Raw genomic sequence first — 17,510 nt, 5'->3', positions numbered from 1 at the left:
ATCCTTTATAAACACAATATGAAAAGAGAGATCTCATCAAGTCTTTTTGGTACACAGTTTTCATGATCGATAAGACTTAGTCTAACTCAGTACCTTCCCAAACTATTTTTGATGGTCACCCTCAGAGAGAAGTATTTTATACAGAAACCCAGGACACATGGCTACACATATACGTGTAATAAAAAAAATTCTACTTATGACCCACTAAACTGATTTCACAATCCACTAATAGGTCACAATATGAGGTTAAAAACAAAAACAAAAACAACTCCGGTTTCTATCTCTAGTTTACCTGGATCTCTATCATATATGTATATTACTGTATTGGGTTGGTGCAAAAGTAATTGTGCTTGTTGCCATTACTTTCAATGGCAACAAGCACGATTACTTTTGCACCAACCTATAATTAAAAGGGCTCTCCTTTAATGCTAAATCTGAAATACTATATTCCACACTGTCTCAGGAATTTGTCTTTGGGCTAGGCTACACAGACGCTTAAGAGAAATCTGAGGGAAATATAACTACATTTAAAACCAGAAAAACTAAATAACTGCAACCCATAACATTTCAAAAACTCAGTCACTTTCACAGTTCATGCACGTAAAAACCTACTTTGGTCCTCCGCATTCAACTGCAGAAGCTTTCACAAACCGGATAGGTTGTAATCCCACTGGTTCAATGCTTAGAGTATTGTTTTCCACAGCCTCCAGAACAGCTGAAGCCAACTTAAAAAAAAAGAAAAAGTACTAGATGCTATACTGGCAGAAAAATATCAAAATTGTATTCTACAGTAAACGAATTTTATAAATTATTCTTCTCCAAAGTTCCACTAGCTTGGCTTTAGCAAATGAAAAAGGAAGAAATCAGATAATTTTGGTTTGATTTATTTTATAATCCAAACACTGTTATGAAAGGCAATTCACTTATGGTAAAATAACTTTCCTCATTATCTGGACGAGGATTCAAGGCATCAATTCCAGTCTCTGTTCACTCCTTACCCACGATTAATATCCACAGTTAATGCCACTTCAAAATGAATATCCTAAAGCTTTATTCTGCTAAATATATACAATATTTTTAAACATTGGTCATTTATACCACAGCAATATATATTAATTAGCTGCATATTTTCTGAATTTGTATTTATGTGCACAAGAGTGAGTCTACAAAAGAATTAGCTGAATTATCAAATATTAAATGCCCAGATGAAGACGGTAGCAACTAACACCAGATGAAACAGGAAAACCTCTTTAGTCTGGCAAGGTTACTAATACTGAATGGCCTACCTGAAACCAGATACAGAGCCACAATGAACAAGATATATTCATACCAAAAGTGTGAAAAATGTTCATCTTAACTTCTCCTGGTAAGCAACGTTATAATTAAATGCTTGAAAGACTTAACATAAAACTCTTAGGATTAAATTTCTTATACTTTAATTGACCGGATATTTGTAGACAAACCTTTCACATGTAAGAACAAATTAAAATTACAGCTTTAAATTTTTATACTGCCTTATTTTTCTAAGGTTTTTGCATCTACTTAATCCACTTCATTTTATCCTTTTAACAATCCTGTGGCACAGGCAAAGAAGGCATTACTTTTCCTGTTTTAAAGATAAAAAATTAGATTTTTAAATCATGTACAGATAGACACAACAAATGCCTTTAACAGAGTGTGTAGAGAACTTCCCTTACACTGAACCTTGGACTGCAAATCAAGAAATAAGTCCTATCCCCCATACCTATTTAATACCTGACACCAATGCAGTACACATTTGAGTGTGAATGATCCTCTGCTCATATAAGAAAAGATGTTCAGTAACTGAATGCCAAGAAATTATCATGATTCTAGTACGGAATGGCAAAAATAGCAAAACATGACATTTTATAATAACTTATTTATGTAAGAGATATTAAAATATGTAATATGATTTAGTTTAAAAGAAGTACAGAAACAACTATAATGAATTCCTACTAAAATGAAAAAAAATTACCTCACTTTTTGAGAATGTTAAACATGGAAAGATATCTTCCTGGTAGATTTTGTCTAAGAAAGGACACGTCCTGTCCATTGTGGGCTCATCCTTCCACAATCGGAATTCATTATACAAGGATAAGTCAGCCTAACAAACCAAAGGAAAACACAAAAACATGTTTTAAAACGTATAAACATAAAAACCGCTTTACAAAACCAAAACTAATTTAAACATCACTGAAAAAAAGCTCTTCATTTAAAATAATAAATTGAACCACTCTTGGTGGTTCAATACCTGGTAGCAGTTTTCCTTTTTAAAAAATACTCTCAAATAATACCTGGTAGCATAATACCTGGTAGCAGTTTTCCTTTTTAAAAAATGACTCTCAAATAACCAATTAGCCTTTTTCCAAGCATCATTCACTACCATGTTCAATAACACTACTATTATCCTCACTCTGAGCTCCTTCTCCCATCCCCACCAAAAATGCTGGAGTTCCTCTTAAGACACAGGTGGCACACTATTCAGAATATAATAAATGATGACAAGTCTTTTCTGAAAACAATAAAAAGGTAATTTGGAACCTAATTAATTATAGTGTCTGAATAAACTGAGACTGGCTGAACTGTGAAACCTAGTTTGGGATCAAAAATGACACTAATTGTTCTACTATAACTTGAAGGCATTCCAAAAAGAATTGTCAAAATGTTATTGCATAACCAACAGGATTAAAAAAAAAGAATACGTAAAGCCTTCTAAACTACCTTAAAATACAACATTTATTTAGATATTTTTGACATATTTTTGGCACCCAGTAACTACCATCTTAGGCATCAATAATAATCCACTGCTGGCACCTGCCTTCCTATTCACTCCTCCAGCTATCCCTCTCTTTCTCACCTCCCTAATAAATTTTCCCCAAGTATTCTTCCCTACAGATTCTCAGATTCCCTCAGTCCAGCTCAATAGCATCTGCTGGAATACAAAGTTGCACTGACATCAGCCACCCAAACTAGAGCAGTCTCCCCCATCCTACAGCTCTAAGCTGCTCTTCTCCAGAGGCACTGGATACACCATAAATGATGCACTGACTACAGCTACAGACTGCCTCTAGGATAGCTCAATCAGATGTGCAAGTAGTCTACAAAAATGTAACATAGAGCTGAGTGTAGCCAAGCCTTCCTACAGACTTCCTTTTAAGGTGTATAAGGGCAATCTCCATGTGAATATTTTTTTCAGCCCAATTCATAAATTCCTTGAATCAAAGCAAAAGCAACAGGATAAATAATATTAGCATATAAGCAATACTTACATTTTCAAATGCATTTTCTTTGTAAAGTTACTGAGAAAAAGGACACTTCCTCAATTCCATTTATCTTCTAAATAAGACTCTTTAATCTTTGTTCCTAATTCACTTACCTCCTGGCTCTAATAAGAGATGTCACATCTCCAATTTAACAGTCTGTTTAATATTAACTTCTCAAATGTATTTGTTCCCAACATATATTGATTTATATGAGCACACACTAATGACCTAAGTCTGTTACTCTTTCTTAAGAAAGATGCAAATTTATTCCCTATTTAATAAATGGTGCTGGGAAAACTGGCTAGCCCTATGTAGAAAGCTGAAATTGGATCCCTTCCTTATACCTTATACAAAAATCAATTCAAGATGGATTAAAGACTTAAATGTTAGACCTAAAACCATAAAAACCCTAGAAGAAAACCTATGCAATACCATTCAGGACATAGGCATGGGCAAGGACTTCATGTCTAAAACACCAAAAGCAATGGCAACAAAAGACAAAATTGACAAATGGGATCTAATTAAACTAAAGAGCCTCTGCACAGCAAAAGAAACTACCATCAGAGTGAACAGGCAACCTACAAAATGGGAGAAAATTTTCGCAACCTACTCATCTGACAAAGGGCTAATATCCAGAATCTACAATGAACTCAAACAAATTTACAAGAAAAAAACAAACAACCCCATCAAAAAGTGGGCGAAGGACATGAACAGACACTTCTCAAACGAAGACATTTATGCAGCCAAAAAACACATGAAAAAATGCTCACCATCACTGGCCATCAGAGAAATGCAAATCAAAACCACAATGAGATACCATCTCACACCAGTTACAATGGCAATCATTAAAAAGTCAGGAAACAACAGGTGCTGGAGAGGATGTAGAGGAATAGGAACACTTTTACACTGTTGGTGGGACTGTAAACTAGTTCAACCATTGTGGAAGTCAGTGTGGTGATTCCTCAGGGACCTAGAACTAGAAATACCATTTGACCCAGCCATCCCATTACTGGGTATATACCCAAAGGACTATAAATCATGCTGCTATAAAGACACACGCACACGTATGTTTATTGCGGCATTATTCACAATAGCAAAGACGTGGAACCAACCCAAATGTCCAACAATGATAGACTGGATTAAGAAAATGTGGCACATATACACCATGGAATACTATGTAGCCATAAAAAATGATGAGTTCATGTCCTTTGTAGGGACATGGATGAAACTGGAAATCATCATTCTCAGTAAACTATCGCAAGAACAAAAAACCAAACACCATATATTCTCACTCATAGGTGGGAATTGAACAAGGAGAACACATGGACACAGGAAGGGGAACATCACACTCTGGGGACTGTTGTGGGGTGGGGGGATGGGGTAGGGATAGCATTGGGAGATATACCTAATGCTAGATGACGAGTTAGTGGGTGCAGGGCACCAGCATGGCACATGTATACATCTGTAACTAACCTGCACATTGTGCACATGTACCCTAAAACTTAAAGTATAACAATAATTAAAAAAAAAAGAAAGATGCAAATTTATTAAAAAAAAAAAAAAAAAAAAAAAGAAAGAAAAGAAAAAGGACATAAACCCCAAAGCAGGTAAGTGGTATTCTAAGGAAAGATTCTAGTTTAAAGGCTGTAATTTAAACCATTTATTAAGAGCTGACTCTGCCAGGAACCACCGTAAGCACTTTACAAGCATTTAATCCTCACAACTGTGCAAGACAGATATTATGATTGCCATTTGTAATTTGCCGGAGATTGCATAGCAAGAAAGCAGTAAAGTCCGAATTCAAATCTAAGTGGCTTGATCCCAAAGCCTTGCACTGGGCATGTATGTCTGCATGCATGCATGTGTATTTTAAATGTTTACAGAAGACATGTTGCTAATGTCATAACTGAGTGCCCCATCATATTTTCTACAAAAACACGGACATGCTTAATTTTCTTCCAGATTGTTACATATTTTTCTAAGACTTACACAGGTCAAATTTATGTAATTCCTTTGCCTAGTAAGACTTTTTGACAAGTTTTTCATGAAACATCAGACTATAACACGTACCTGAAGAGCAAAGGTTATTATTTTGAAGTTATATGCTGCCTATGCACATTTTAAGGGATTTCAAAAACTAAAAATGAATCTTTACCATGTTCCATGAGAAGACACTTATAATTTTGTTAGTGTAAATAGGGGGGAAAGTACATAATTACTTACACATACTGAGTAAGAAACACCAAAAATACAAGTTGTACCAGGCAATTAAAATTGCTATTTAAATTCCAAAGAATTAGAATTAAAGTTAGGACAAAGAAGTTTCTTAAATATTTAACAGAAACCAATGTGAATTTTGGATTTGGTTACATTCAGATTTAACCAAGTATTGAACTTCTCTCTTACCAGCATCATTTTTATTGATAATTCGTCAAAATGCAATTCAATTAAAACAGGTTAACATTGGTTATTCCATTTAATAAACTCCTGGCTTCCATACAAAAATTTAACAAGCACACACATTTCTTCAAGATTAATGATGGACTTGAATTTAACAATGTAAAAGATGGCTTCTAAGAAGAAATGGGAAAGCTTCATAAATTATTGATCAATCCTCTTAGAAATGCATTCTCACAGTATACAATGATTAAAAATTTTTACTCTAAACAGCTCAAAATATTTATATATTATTTCAGTTATCTTTGTAACATATCTTTTAAAATAAGACTATTATTATTATTATGATTTTGAGACAGAGTTTCGCTCTTGTTGCCCAGGCTGGAGTGTGATGGCGCAATCTCAGCTGACCGCAACCTCCGCCTCCCAGGTTCAAGGGATTCTCCTGCCTCAGCCTCCTGAGTAGCTGGGATTATAAGCATGAGATACCATGCCCAGCTAATTTTATATTTTTAGTACAGATAGGGTTTCTCCATGTTGGTCAGGCTGGTCTCGAACTCCCAACCTCAGGTGATCCTCCGGCCTTGGCCTCCCAAAGTGCTGAGATTACAGGCATGAGCCACCATGCCCGGCCCATTATTTCGTTTTTAAATTTTTAATTGTTATGGATACATGATAATGGTGGCCTTACATAGTTGTAAGTGTCTGAATAACAGACTGGCTGAACTGTGAAACCTAATTTGGGATCAAAAATGACACTAATTGTTCTACTATAACTTGAAATTTCACTTAGCAAAATGTCTTCCAGCCTTATGTCATTGTAAGGCTACCATTATTTCTATTTTTTTGTTGCTTAATTATCTAAATTAACTCTAGGACTCCCTTGCTGACATAAAATTCTCTCTGAATTTAAATAAAAGCAATGTATTGATCTTTAAGAAAATCATCTTATTTTCACATATTTCTTATATCCATACTTTGTAAGCGCACTCTAGCAATAAATTTTGACTAGCCAGATCATTAAAGCCACCCACTCTCCTCTAGACAACACATGACAGTTTCCTCCCTTAATGAAATACTGAGATTAAGAAACTTACCAAGTTTCCAGCAGGTACTCCAAGGTCAGCCAGGTAGAAAATGGAACTGAAGAATCCCTGAAAGCAGCCAGCTCTAGATAAAGCCTCCCCCATCTTAATACTGCATTATTTTGTACTAAAAATTTTGCTGGCAAAAATGATAACTGACACCTCAGTGATGAGAACTAACAAGTATCAACAGAGTCAGAGGGGACAGTCCTTGATGAGTTACCTCTTTGCAGTCTTTTACAATTGGCTGTATCACACTGAGGTCCTGATGACTGCCACTCATAGCACTGCTTGTGCTTTTATTTCTTGTATGCCCCTTTTTAAAAGGTGTCTTTCCACCTGGCAAAGGCTCCTGCGTAGGTGATGTTGGAGAACTGGACAATACAAGTGTCTTCAATGCAGCTACTTCAGCTTGAAGTACATCAATCTTGGAAAGAAATCAACATAGTCACATACATTAAATACGTTTCATGACATATGCAGCTAAATATTAGCAATCTGGTCAAAACACTTTCAAAGATGAAAAGTAAGTTTAATTTGTATTTCCTGTGGAGTAATAAAAAGAAACTAAAATCAAGTTTTTTGATGTTTCCATATGGTTTGGATTCATCTATTATTAACAACGTCAAATGAGCCTGTGAAAATTACCAAAATATCTAACATTTATGTGAATTTTCAAAATCCTCAAAATATAATAGCTTATGATTAGTTGTAGAAGTTCACTCCTAAAACAGTAAAATCTAATAACATTTAGGTGGCTTTTCTCAGTGAATTTAAAAACTAAGTATTAACATTAAAATGTGATTCTATAATCCTTTGGATAATTCATGTGATTTACAAGGTTTTAAATCATTTGGTTCTCATATAAATGGACACGAAATGTTTACTATTAATTATACCTACATAGTAGCTATTTTCTTCTATTTTTCTGTAGTTTCCAAATTGAAAACAAGCACTACTTTACGATCAGAACAAAATCCAACAGATGTTAAGGTATCTTTAAAACAGTTATCACAAATTTATTTTATACTATTAAGAGCTGCAAAAACTCACTTTTCCTTGTGCTTCTTTTAGCTGTTTTTCTGCTGTTGCCTGCTTGATATTTGCTTCTCTCACCATTTTATGAGCTTCCTGAAAAAGTTAACATCTCAAATTTTAGAAACAAAGTAGCATTTGTTTTCAAAAAGTTCTTGCCAAATGTTTACAATTGAAGCAAAGATATACTACCAAAAGTTAGCCTGAAGTTAAGTATTCAATGTCAACTATGGAAGCAGCAGTTGACAACAGAGACAAACTATGAGACATTAGGAATAGGTGCCTTCTTTTAGGACCTATTACCACTGAGGCAGCCAAGTTGAGATCAATCATCCGGATAGATACTTGCGTAAGGACTGTGAATGTGACGAAGGCAAACAATGACCAATGTGTCAAAGCCAACTCCTTTGCAGTCAGCTTTTTATAATGTGGTCACTATATATGTTCTTATTAGTCAAAGCAAAGACATACAGGAGGGACAAGTAAAAACATTAACACACCAATAATGTTGCAGTTTATAGTAATGACAGCTAAGAAGCCTTAGAGCTTTCAATAAAAACATTCCCAAAATTTTATTATGTGACAATTTTGTGAAGAGCAACCTAAAAAGGCAAATCAGTTTACCCTTTAATAGAGTTTTAATCTTCTAGTACCACAAATATGAAACTCTAGGTATTTAATTCCTTTTTATTCATATAATGTTTATTCATGAGACATTTACTCATGTCATCTCCTTGTGAGGTACTGCTCCAGATGCTGATTACGTACTGGGAAAGGACAAAGTCCCTGCTCTTAAGGAGCTTACATTCTGTTTATATGTATTAACCAAATAAAACATCGGAATAAGAATTGTGGGTTTTATTCTAAATGCAATATGAAGCCTTACAGTTTTTTTAAGGAAGACATGATCATTTTATTTTTAAAAGATTATGCCCTTGTATAGAATAATCCCTGTAAGGGATTAAGAATGGACTGGAAGCATATATAGGGTGCTTGAGATAGTGCCCCGAGATTTAAGAACTTACATTTTAGAACTTTAGTTTACAATTTATCAGAGGAAGGAAGGAAATGAGCTTCAAAGATATTTAATGAATAGTTTGACAATGGCACCCTCACTAGATCTGTCAAAATGCACAGTGGTAGAATGGAAAGGTGGAAGTTCTTTACATCAGAGTTTGACTGTTTGTTTCCCGTTTGTTCATTAGCTTTTACAGTATTGTAACACTGCAGTTTGTGTGTGCCCATGAATGTGAATTTGCAGCTTATACTAGTTTAAATAGGAGAATCTTTACTATCAATGATTTATAGCAAAATGATATTAACCATGAAGATATTCCATGCACTATTATTCTGGCTATCTTGGCAAAGTCCTTAAGAGCTGTCAAATTTAATGAGTTAAATATTCTCCTTTTAAAAATAACAAATGTTTCAGATTTGCTGAATTTTTCTGGGACAAGTGGCTGTCAACACAAAACTATCTGGCAATGTTTTAAAAATAATAAACACAGCTAATCTGACCCTTCAAGATAAGTAACATTTTAACTTTAAATGAAAAAGTAATTCATACTATGGAGAGAATAGTTGACTAAATTTTTGGAAATGGACTCTGTTTTCATTAATAGTGGATTATGCAATTTGTACCAAACCTCCAACGGAGAACGATTAGAAAAGCTAGAAAAGTTTTTTGTTTGTTTTTAAAATATGTTTGAAGGTATCTGAGAACAAAATAGTGAAGTAAACTTAGAGTAATGTGAAATTTTAGGTGACTTTTCCACTACAGACATAAGGGTTACAGTGAAAAGGTATAACATACATATAATTGGAGCCCCAAAAGGAAAGATGAGCACTAGACTGGGGCAGGATCAGTTGCTAAAAAGATGACATGCAGAATTTTTACAGAATTTTTTAAAAATTGACAAAAAACATCAAAAGGTAGACTCAAAAAAAGTTTGAAAATTTTCCATCACACTGCCCTTCCAAAGCTGAAAATGATGTAAGTATCACCTATACCAGGAGTCGGTAAACTTTTTCTGTAAAGAGTCAAACACTATGTATACATATACAGCCTCAGCTGCAACTCCTCAGCTCTGCTGTTGCAATATGAAAGCAGCCATAGACAATACACAAATTAGTGTGGCTGTTTTAATAAATATTTATGAACACTGAAATATACATATCATTTTGTTTTTCTTTTAGCATATCCAGCACCTCTCAGTTACCTTTTTTTTGGAGGGGAGGTGGTGCGCAAACAAGATCTACCTTCTTAGCAAATTTGTAACATACGATATAGTCGTGCTGTACATTGGGTCTTCAGAATTTATCTATCCTGCATAACTGACACTTTGTACCAATGACCGACATCTCCCGTTTCTCCCACTTTCCAGCCCCTGACAACCACCAATCTACTCTGTGCTTCTATGAGCTCGACTATTTTAGATTCCACATATAAGTGAGATAATGTAGCATTTGTCTTTCTGTCTTGCTTATTTCACTTAGCAAAATGTCCTCCAGGTTCGCTCATGTTGTTGCAAAAGGCAGGATTTCCATTTTAAGACTGAGTAGTATTCATATACACACACATACCCCCCACATTTTCTTTATCCATTCATCAATAGACATATAACTTGTTTCCATAACTTTGCTACTGTGAATAATGCTGCAATGAACATGGAAGCACAGATAACTCATCAGGATAGCAATTTTCTTTTGGATATATATCTGGAAGTGGGATTGCTGGATCATGCGGTAGCTTTATTTTTAATTTTTTGAGCAGAAACTTCCATACTGTTTTCCATAATGGCTGTACCAATTTACATTCCCACCAATAGTGGACAAGTTCCTTTTCTCCACATCCTTGCCAACATTTACTATCTTTTGTATTTTGATAATAGCCATTCTAACCAGTGTGGGGTGCTATCTCATTGGGGAGTGACTGGCATTTACCTGATGATTACTGATGCTGGGTATCTTATCATATACCGGTTGGCCATTTGTATGTCTTCTTAGGAGAAATGTCTATTTAGGCCCCTAGCCCATCTTTCAATTGGGTTGTTTTTTGCTACTGCATGCCTTATATACTTTGGATATTAACTCCTTATCAGATACACGGTTTGCAAATGTTTTCCCATTCAGTATGCCGCTTCTTCATTTTGTTGACTGTTTTTTGCTGGGCAGAAGCTTTTTAGTTTGATGTACTCCCACTTGTCCATTTTGTTTTTGTTGCCTGTGCTTTTGGTGTCACATCCAAAAAAATCACTGCCCAGACCAATGTCAAGAAGCTTTTTCCTTGTTTCTTCTGAGTTTACAGTTTCAGGTCTTATGTGTAAGTCTTTAATCCATTTGAATTGATTTTTCTTTATGGTGTGAGATCAGGGTCTAATTTCGTTCATTTGCATGTGGATATCCAATTTTCTCAGCAGCATTTATTGATAAGACTATCTACTCCCCACTAGGTGTCCTTAGCATTTTTGTTGAGGGTCAGCTAACCAAAAATGTGTCATTTCTGGGCTCTCTATTCTCTTCTATTGGTCCACATGTCTGTTTTTATATCAGTGCCATACTGTTTTTACTGCTGTAACTTTGTCATGTACTTTGAAATCAGGAAGTGTGATGCATCCAGCTTTATTTTTCTTGCTCAAGATTACTTTGGGGCTGGGCATAGTGGCTCACGCCTGTAATCCCAGCACTTTGGGAGGCTGAGGCAGGTAGATCACCTGAGGTCAGGAGTTCAAGACCAACCTGGCCAACATGGTGAAACCCGTTTCTACTAAAAATACAAAAATTATCTGGGCGTGGTGGTGCACACCTGTAATCCCAGCTACTCAGGAGGCTGAGGCAGGAGAAAAGCTAGAACCCAGGAGGCGGAGGTTATAGTGAATCAAGATCGCACCATTGCACTCCAGCCTAGGCAACAGAGCAAGACTCCATCTCAGAAAAAAAAAAAAATTACTTTGGCTATTAACGTTTTTTGTAGCTCCATATGAACTTCCTACTTCTGTAAAAAATGCCATTGGGATTTTCACAGGGATTGCATTGTATCTGTAAATCACTTGGGTAGAATAGACATTTTAACAGTATTAATTCTTCCAACCAATGAACACAAATCTCTTTCCATCTGTGTCTTAATTCCCTTCATTAACTGTATTATAATTTTCAGTATACAAGTCTTTTTGCCTCTTTGGTTAGGTTTATTCCTAAGTATTTTATTCTTTTTGATGCTTTTTGACACTGAAATCATGAGATTGTTCTCTTAAATTCCTTTTCAGGTAACTGGTTGTCCATGTATAAAAACATCATTAATTTTTGTATCCTGCAACCCTATCAAATTCATTTATTAGTTCTAACTTTTTTGTTGTTGAATCTTTAGAATTTTCTACACTTGTGATCATGTCATCTGCACACAGAGATTATTTCTTCCTTTCCAATTTGGTTGCCTTTTCTTTTTCTTGACTGATTGCTCTAACATTCCAGAACTGTGCTGTACAGAAATGGTGAAGAGTGGGCATCCTTGTCTTATACCAGATCTTAGAGGAAAAGCTTTCAATTTCCCCCACTGATTATGATTGTTAGCTATGGGTTTCCATATATGGTCTTTATTGTCTTAAAGTAAGTTCCTATATCTATTTTGTTGAGAGTTTTAGCATAAATGAATGTGGAATTTTGTCAAATGCTTTTTCTGCTTCTATTAAGATTATAATGTATATTATTATATCATTCTATTACTGTGGTTTATCACACTGATTGATTTGCCTATGTTGATGCATCCTTGCATCCCAGGGACAAATCCCATTTGATCACAGTGTATAATCCTTTTAATATGTTACTGAATTTGATTTTCTAACATTTTATTAAGAGCTTCTGCACCTATGTCCATTGAGAATATTGGCCCATAGTTTTTTCCTTGTGGTACATTTACTGGCTTTGGTATCAGAGTGATATTGGCCTCATAAAATGAGTTTGGAAGGGTTCCCTCTTCTATTTTTGTAAGAGTGTAAAAAGAATTGGCACTGATTCTTCTTTGAATGTTGGTAGAATTTACCTGTGAAGCCATCTAATCTTGGGCTTTTTTGTTTCTACTTCTTGATTCCATTTTCCAGAATTTGATTCCAGAAAACTGAGTCAGTTTCTAGGAATTTATCTATTTCTTCTAGATTATCCAATTGATTGGCATGTGGTTCATAAAAGTCACTTATGATCTTTTTTATTTCTGAAGCATCCATTGTAATACCTCCTCTTTCATTTCTGATTTGAGTCCTCTCTTCTCTTGGTTTGTCTAGCTAAGGGTTTTTATTTTTTTCAAGAAACAAACTCGGGTTTTCTTAATATTTTCTATTATTTTCCTATTCTCTATTTCTACTCTGATCTTTGTTATTCCCTTCCCTCTGCTAAGTTTGGACTTAGTTTGTTCTCCTTCTAATTCCTTGAGGTATAAAGTTAGGTTGAGATTGTTCTTCTTTTTTAATGTAGGCCTTTATCCCTCTTAGTACTGCTTTTTCTGCATCTCTTAAGTTTTGGTACGTTGTGTTTTCAGTTTTATTCGTCTCAAGAAACTTTTCAAGTTCCCTTTTGATTTTTTGACTCAAAGGTTGTTCAAAAGGATATCATTGTTTAGTTTCCACACATTTGAGTTTTCCTGTTTTCTATTATTGATTCCTAATTGAATTCCATTGTGAGTGGAAAAGATTCTTAGAATGATTTTGATCTTCTTAAATCTGAGACTTGTTTTGTGACCTAACATGAACTATACTGGAGAATGTTTCATGTGCACCTGAGAAGAATGTATATTCTTTTGCTGTTGTGTTAAAAGTTCCATACGTATCTGTTAGATCCATTTGGTCTATAGCGTTATGCAGTTCTGCTGTTTCCTTATTAATTTTCTGTCTGAATAATCTACTCATTAGAGAGACTGTGGTATTGAAGTCACCTATTATTAATGTATTACTGTATCAGCCTTCAGATCTGTCAGTTTGTTTTACACATTTAGGTGCTTTGATGTTGGATGCATATATACAGTCATGCACCACATAACATTTCAGTGAACAATGGACTGCATATATGACAGTGGTCCCATAAAATTATACCATATTTATTTTTACTTTACTTTTTCTATGTTTAGATACGTAAATATTTACCATTGTATCACAAGTGCCAACAGTATTCAGTATAGTAACATGTTGTACAGGTTTGTAGCCCAGGAGCAATAAGCAATATCATATAGCCAAGGTGTGTAATAGGCTGTACCATCTAGGTTTTACCACATCTTGGTTTGTGTAAGTATATTCTACCGATTTCTGCACGATGAAATCTATAATGACAAAATAATGATTTAAAATAGGGAAAGATGTATCTTATATTAGACCAATAGATGTGTGAGTTATCAGCAGTATTAGATCTATTTTTGAAAATGGAACTTAGACCAGACCTTCATCTGGATAATAAACTGTTAAAACAAGATCTTCTAAAATAAAGTAACATATTCAATCACACTCCTCTCACTAAGTATATATAAAACATGTGTGTATAACTGTTTTAATGAGAATATTTTTGTACCATAATAAAAATGTTAAAGCATTTTTATTGTTTTACCTTTTAAAACTTGTATTTACAATGTATGTTAACACATTAGTATGTCCATTAGCAAGTGTGTATAATTTATAAATACACATATATGTTCATATAGAACACTACCTATATGTGCCTAGCACATAGGGAACTCTCAATAAATATTAGTTATCTTCATCATAATGGAGGTAACATGCTCAAATTTTTCTCGTACTGATCAGGTACAGGATCAAAAAGTTTGGTATCTATTGATTTAGCTAACAAACGATGGTGGCTTGGAAGGCAATGTGCTCTATGTCCTGGAGGTAGCATCAAAAGACTTAACTGATCACTTGAGTGTGGAATGAAGAAATAAGAGGCCCCGGTGATGACTTCTTTTCCATGGTTTGACACAAAGAGAAATGCCATTTATGATTTTCACAGTAGATAAAGCAAGAGTTAGGATCATGAATATGAGTGCCTGCATTGCTCATTAGCCTCTCTGCCTCACTTTTCTTCTCAGATAAAATGATAATAATCTGCCCTATATGCATCATAGTATTGTTGGGAGAAAACTAGACATATCATAAACATTTACTAAAACTGGCTTATAAAACATAAACATCTTAAGACTACTATCTTTTTTTCTCCATGTAAGATATAGACTGCTTTGTATTCTTTCAACTGACTTAATTTTATATTATCTCAAAATTGGAGGCGTTAGAAGAAAAACATAACTTTTGAGGTTTATTAAGTATTTGATACTTTTAAAACTCAACTTTGCTACATACAAAGTATAATTATATTGAAGATTAGGATAATAGACTCCTATTATACATGTCAGACTTACCAAAACTGTGCATATTGAGTTTATTCAGAATAATCTTTAATTCCTAAAAAGATATGCAAACACACACATATAAAGTGCAAAAAAAGAATCTTTTCATAAGACAATGGTAAACAGATCATGAAGGCACAATTAAGACCAAATAAAAACTTTGAGCGCTTTTTCCACGATTCATAAATAATTGGTTCGAATACAACTTTCTTCATTACCAAAATCATCTTTAATCAATGTACTTTGTTTTCCAGAAAGTAGCCACAGTGTCAATGCTAACAGCCACCACTGGGTTAGAAAAGGTTAGAGACTCCAAACTATATTTTTTAGATATGCTTTTTCACTTATTGCCTATTGCCTAAGCTGCATTTCTGGCCCTTCACATCCTGCTACTTACAGGGAGAAGTTTCTTTCTGTTTTTTCTACTTCTATTTCATGTAACAGAACATACATACATGTGCAGATGGGTGAAACTAAGCAGGGCTAGCTAAATTAAATGCAAGTAGTCAGGAAATCAAAATTAACATAAATAGCTTAATATATTTGCTTTCTTACCTAATATCCATATCACTACAAAATTTTCTTCCAGTCAGACAATACTGGAAGAAAAATCTAATGCTTCTGTATAACCTTCTATTCAGAAATGTAACAAGTCACATAGCTTCTATTCTAGCTCTTTAACTTTCCACTCTTCCTATCCTTAAATTTATTCTCCTCTCATCTCTGATGACTAGCTAGCTAAATAAATAAACAGATTAATTTTAAAATGTTCATGAAAGAAAATGACCCCAAAAAGACAGAAAAGAAGGCAAAGGGGTATGGAGCAGAGAAGGCATGGAAAGCCCTACATGTCTAAAGACATTCAGGGCAATGTTACTTGTAATGATAAAAGTTGTGGAACAGGCACCTAGTAGATTATGACTATCGTTACAATTAGTGATGGTGCAGCAACATTAAAAATGTTATTTAGAAAAACACAAAATATTAAATTACAACTAAGTAAGAATACATACATACCTGAGACTGTGAAATAGATTATGAATAAATAATAACAAAAGGTGATGGAATTTCCACCCCCCCAAGTTTATTATAATAAAAGTTTTAAGAACAAATCTTTAGGAAAAAAACATATATATATCGTTAAATGATAATGGCATTAGCCATTCCAGTAACACATCAATGTTTTTGTTAAGGAACTTCTAAAGACTCAAGGTCTTAACCCAAAGGAGACACTTTACAGCAACAGTTCTTACTCATGGAAGTACTACCCTCACCTCACCCCCAGGGGTATCTGTATGCTGTCAAAATGACCGGGGGTATTACCAGCACTTTTCTGAGCAAAGCCTATTATAATGGTTTATTGTGTACGTCAACTTGACTGAATCAAAGGGTGCTCGAATATGTAGTCAAACATTATCCTGAATGTTTCTGGATAAGAATAACATTTACATTGGTAGACTGAGTAAAGTAGACTGCCCTCTAGAATGTGGGTGACCCTCATCCAATCAGTTGATGGCCTGAATAGAACAAAAAAGGGTGCCGCTCCCTCAAGGAAGAGATTTTTTTTCTGCCTTCAGACTCAAACTGAAACATTTGCTCTTCCCAGTTCTCAGACCTTCAAAGTTGGACTGGAAGTGCACCATCAGCCCTCCTGGGCCTCCAGTTTGCTGACTCCCACTGCAGCTCCCTGGGACTTGCCAGCCTCCATAACAGCAAGAGCCAACTCCCTATAATAATGAGTGCCTCTGTCCCTCTCTCTCCCTCTCTGTATCTCTCTATACATGTATATGTATATAGGCTCTGTTTTTCTGGAGAACCCTGACTAAAACACCAAGGACACTAAACGTCCTACAGTGTTAGTGGCACCCCTATGGAGAAACACTGCTCCAGTTAGGTAGAAATTTTTCCTGGTGGCGGGCTGGATATAAAAAGTATGCCTTCTTACAAGTAGATGTGCCTTCTAACATTTCTCAAATCATCCCATGTAAGATGACTATCTCAAAGAGTTTGCCCTCTTAGTTGTACAGTCATATGTAGTTAATCTAAAGTAGCCCGTAAATACTTGGTAAAATAAAAATCAATACTAAAATTTGCCTCCTTTCTTTGCACACATACATTTTTAAATAATCTGATACTGGTGGCCCATAGATGTTTTTTATTTCTTTTCACATCATCTTAAGTTGTAAACTCTACATTGCTTAAAGATTTCTCTTTTGCTTAGAGGACTTATAAATATACATGAAGCTAAGCAAATATTTTTCAAGATTCCCTCAAAATACAATTTTGTCAATATATAAAAGTCAAGATGTTGCTGTTGGCCAAGATGTAAAT

The 17,510-nt window shown here is 34.7% G+C and overlaps 1 protein-coding gene across 17 annotated transcripts in view; it reads right to left on the bottom strand.

Moving 5' to 3' along the window:
- RAB3IP (RAB3A interacting protein) overlaps positions 1 to 17,510 on the bottom strand; it is an 84,963-nt gene that overhangs the window by 20,871 nt on the left and 46,582 nt on the right. For 7 of the 17 annotated variants that reach the window (XM_006719226.4, NM_022456.5, NM_175624.4 and 4 more), the window contains 4 exons: positions 7,820 to 7,897; positions 6,990 to 7,193; positions 1,997 to 2,125; positions 613 to 725 (listed from right to left, as the gene is read on the bottom strand). In XM_006719226.4, the coding sequence (XP_006719289.3) occupies positions 613 to 725; positions 1,997 to 2,125; positions 6,990 to 7,193; positions 7,820 to 7,897 (524 nt within the window). Of the gene's footprint in view, positions 1 to 612; positions 726 to 1,996; positions 2,126 to 5,690; positions 5,858 to 6,989; positions 7,194 to 7,819; positions 7,898 to 13,932; positions 14,106 to 15,191; positions 17,507 to 17,510 lie in introns of those variants that run through there. The other 10 variants (XR_007063039.1, NR_103519.2, NR_103520.2 and 7 more) reach the window with 8 other exon arrangements.

This window comes from Homo sapiens, chromosome 12 (assembly GCF_000001405.40).
Source record: "Homo sapiens chromosome 12, GRCh38.p14 Primary Assembly".
Lineage (NCBI taxonomy): Eukaryota > Metazoa > Chordata > Mammalia > Primates > Hominidae > Homo > Homo sapiens.
Note: the sequence above shows the minus strand (reverse complement) of the source record. Positions and strands in the feature narration are given on the sequence as shown.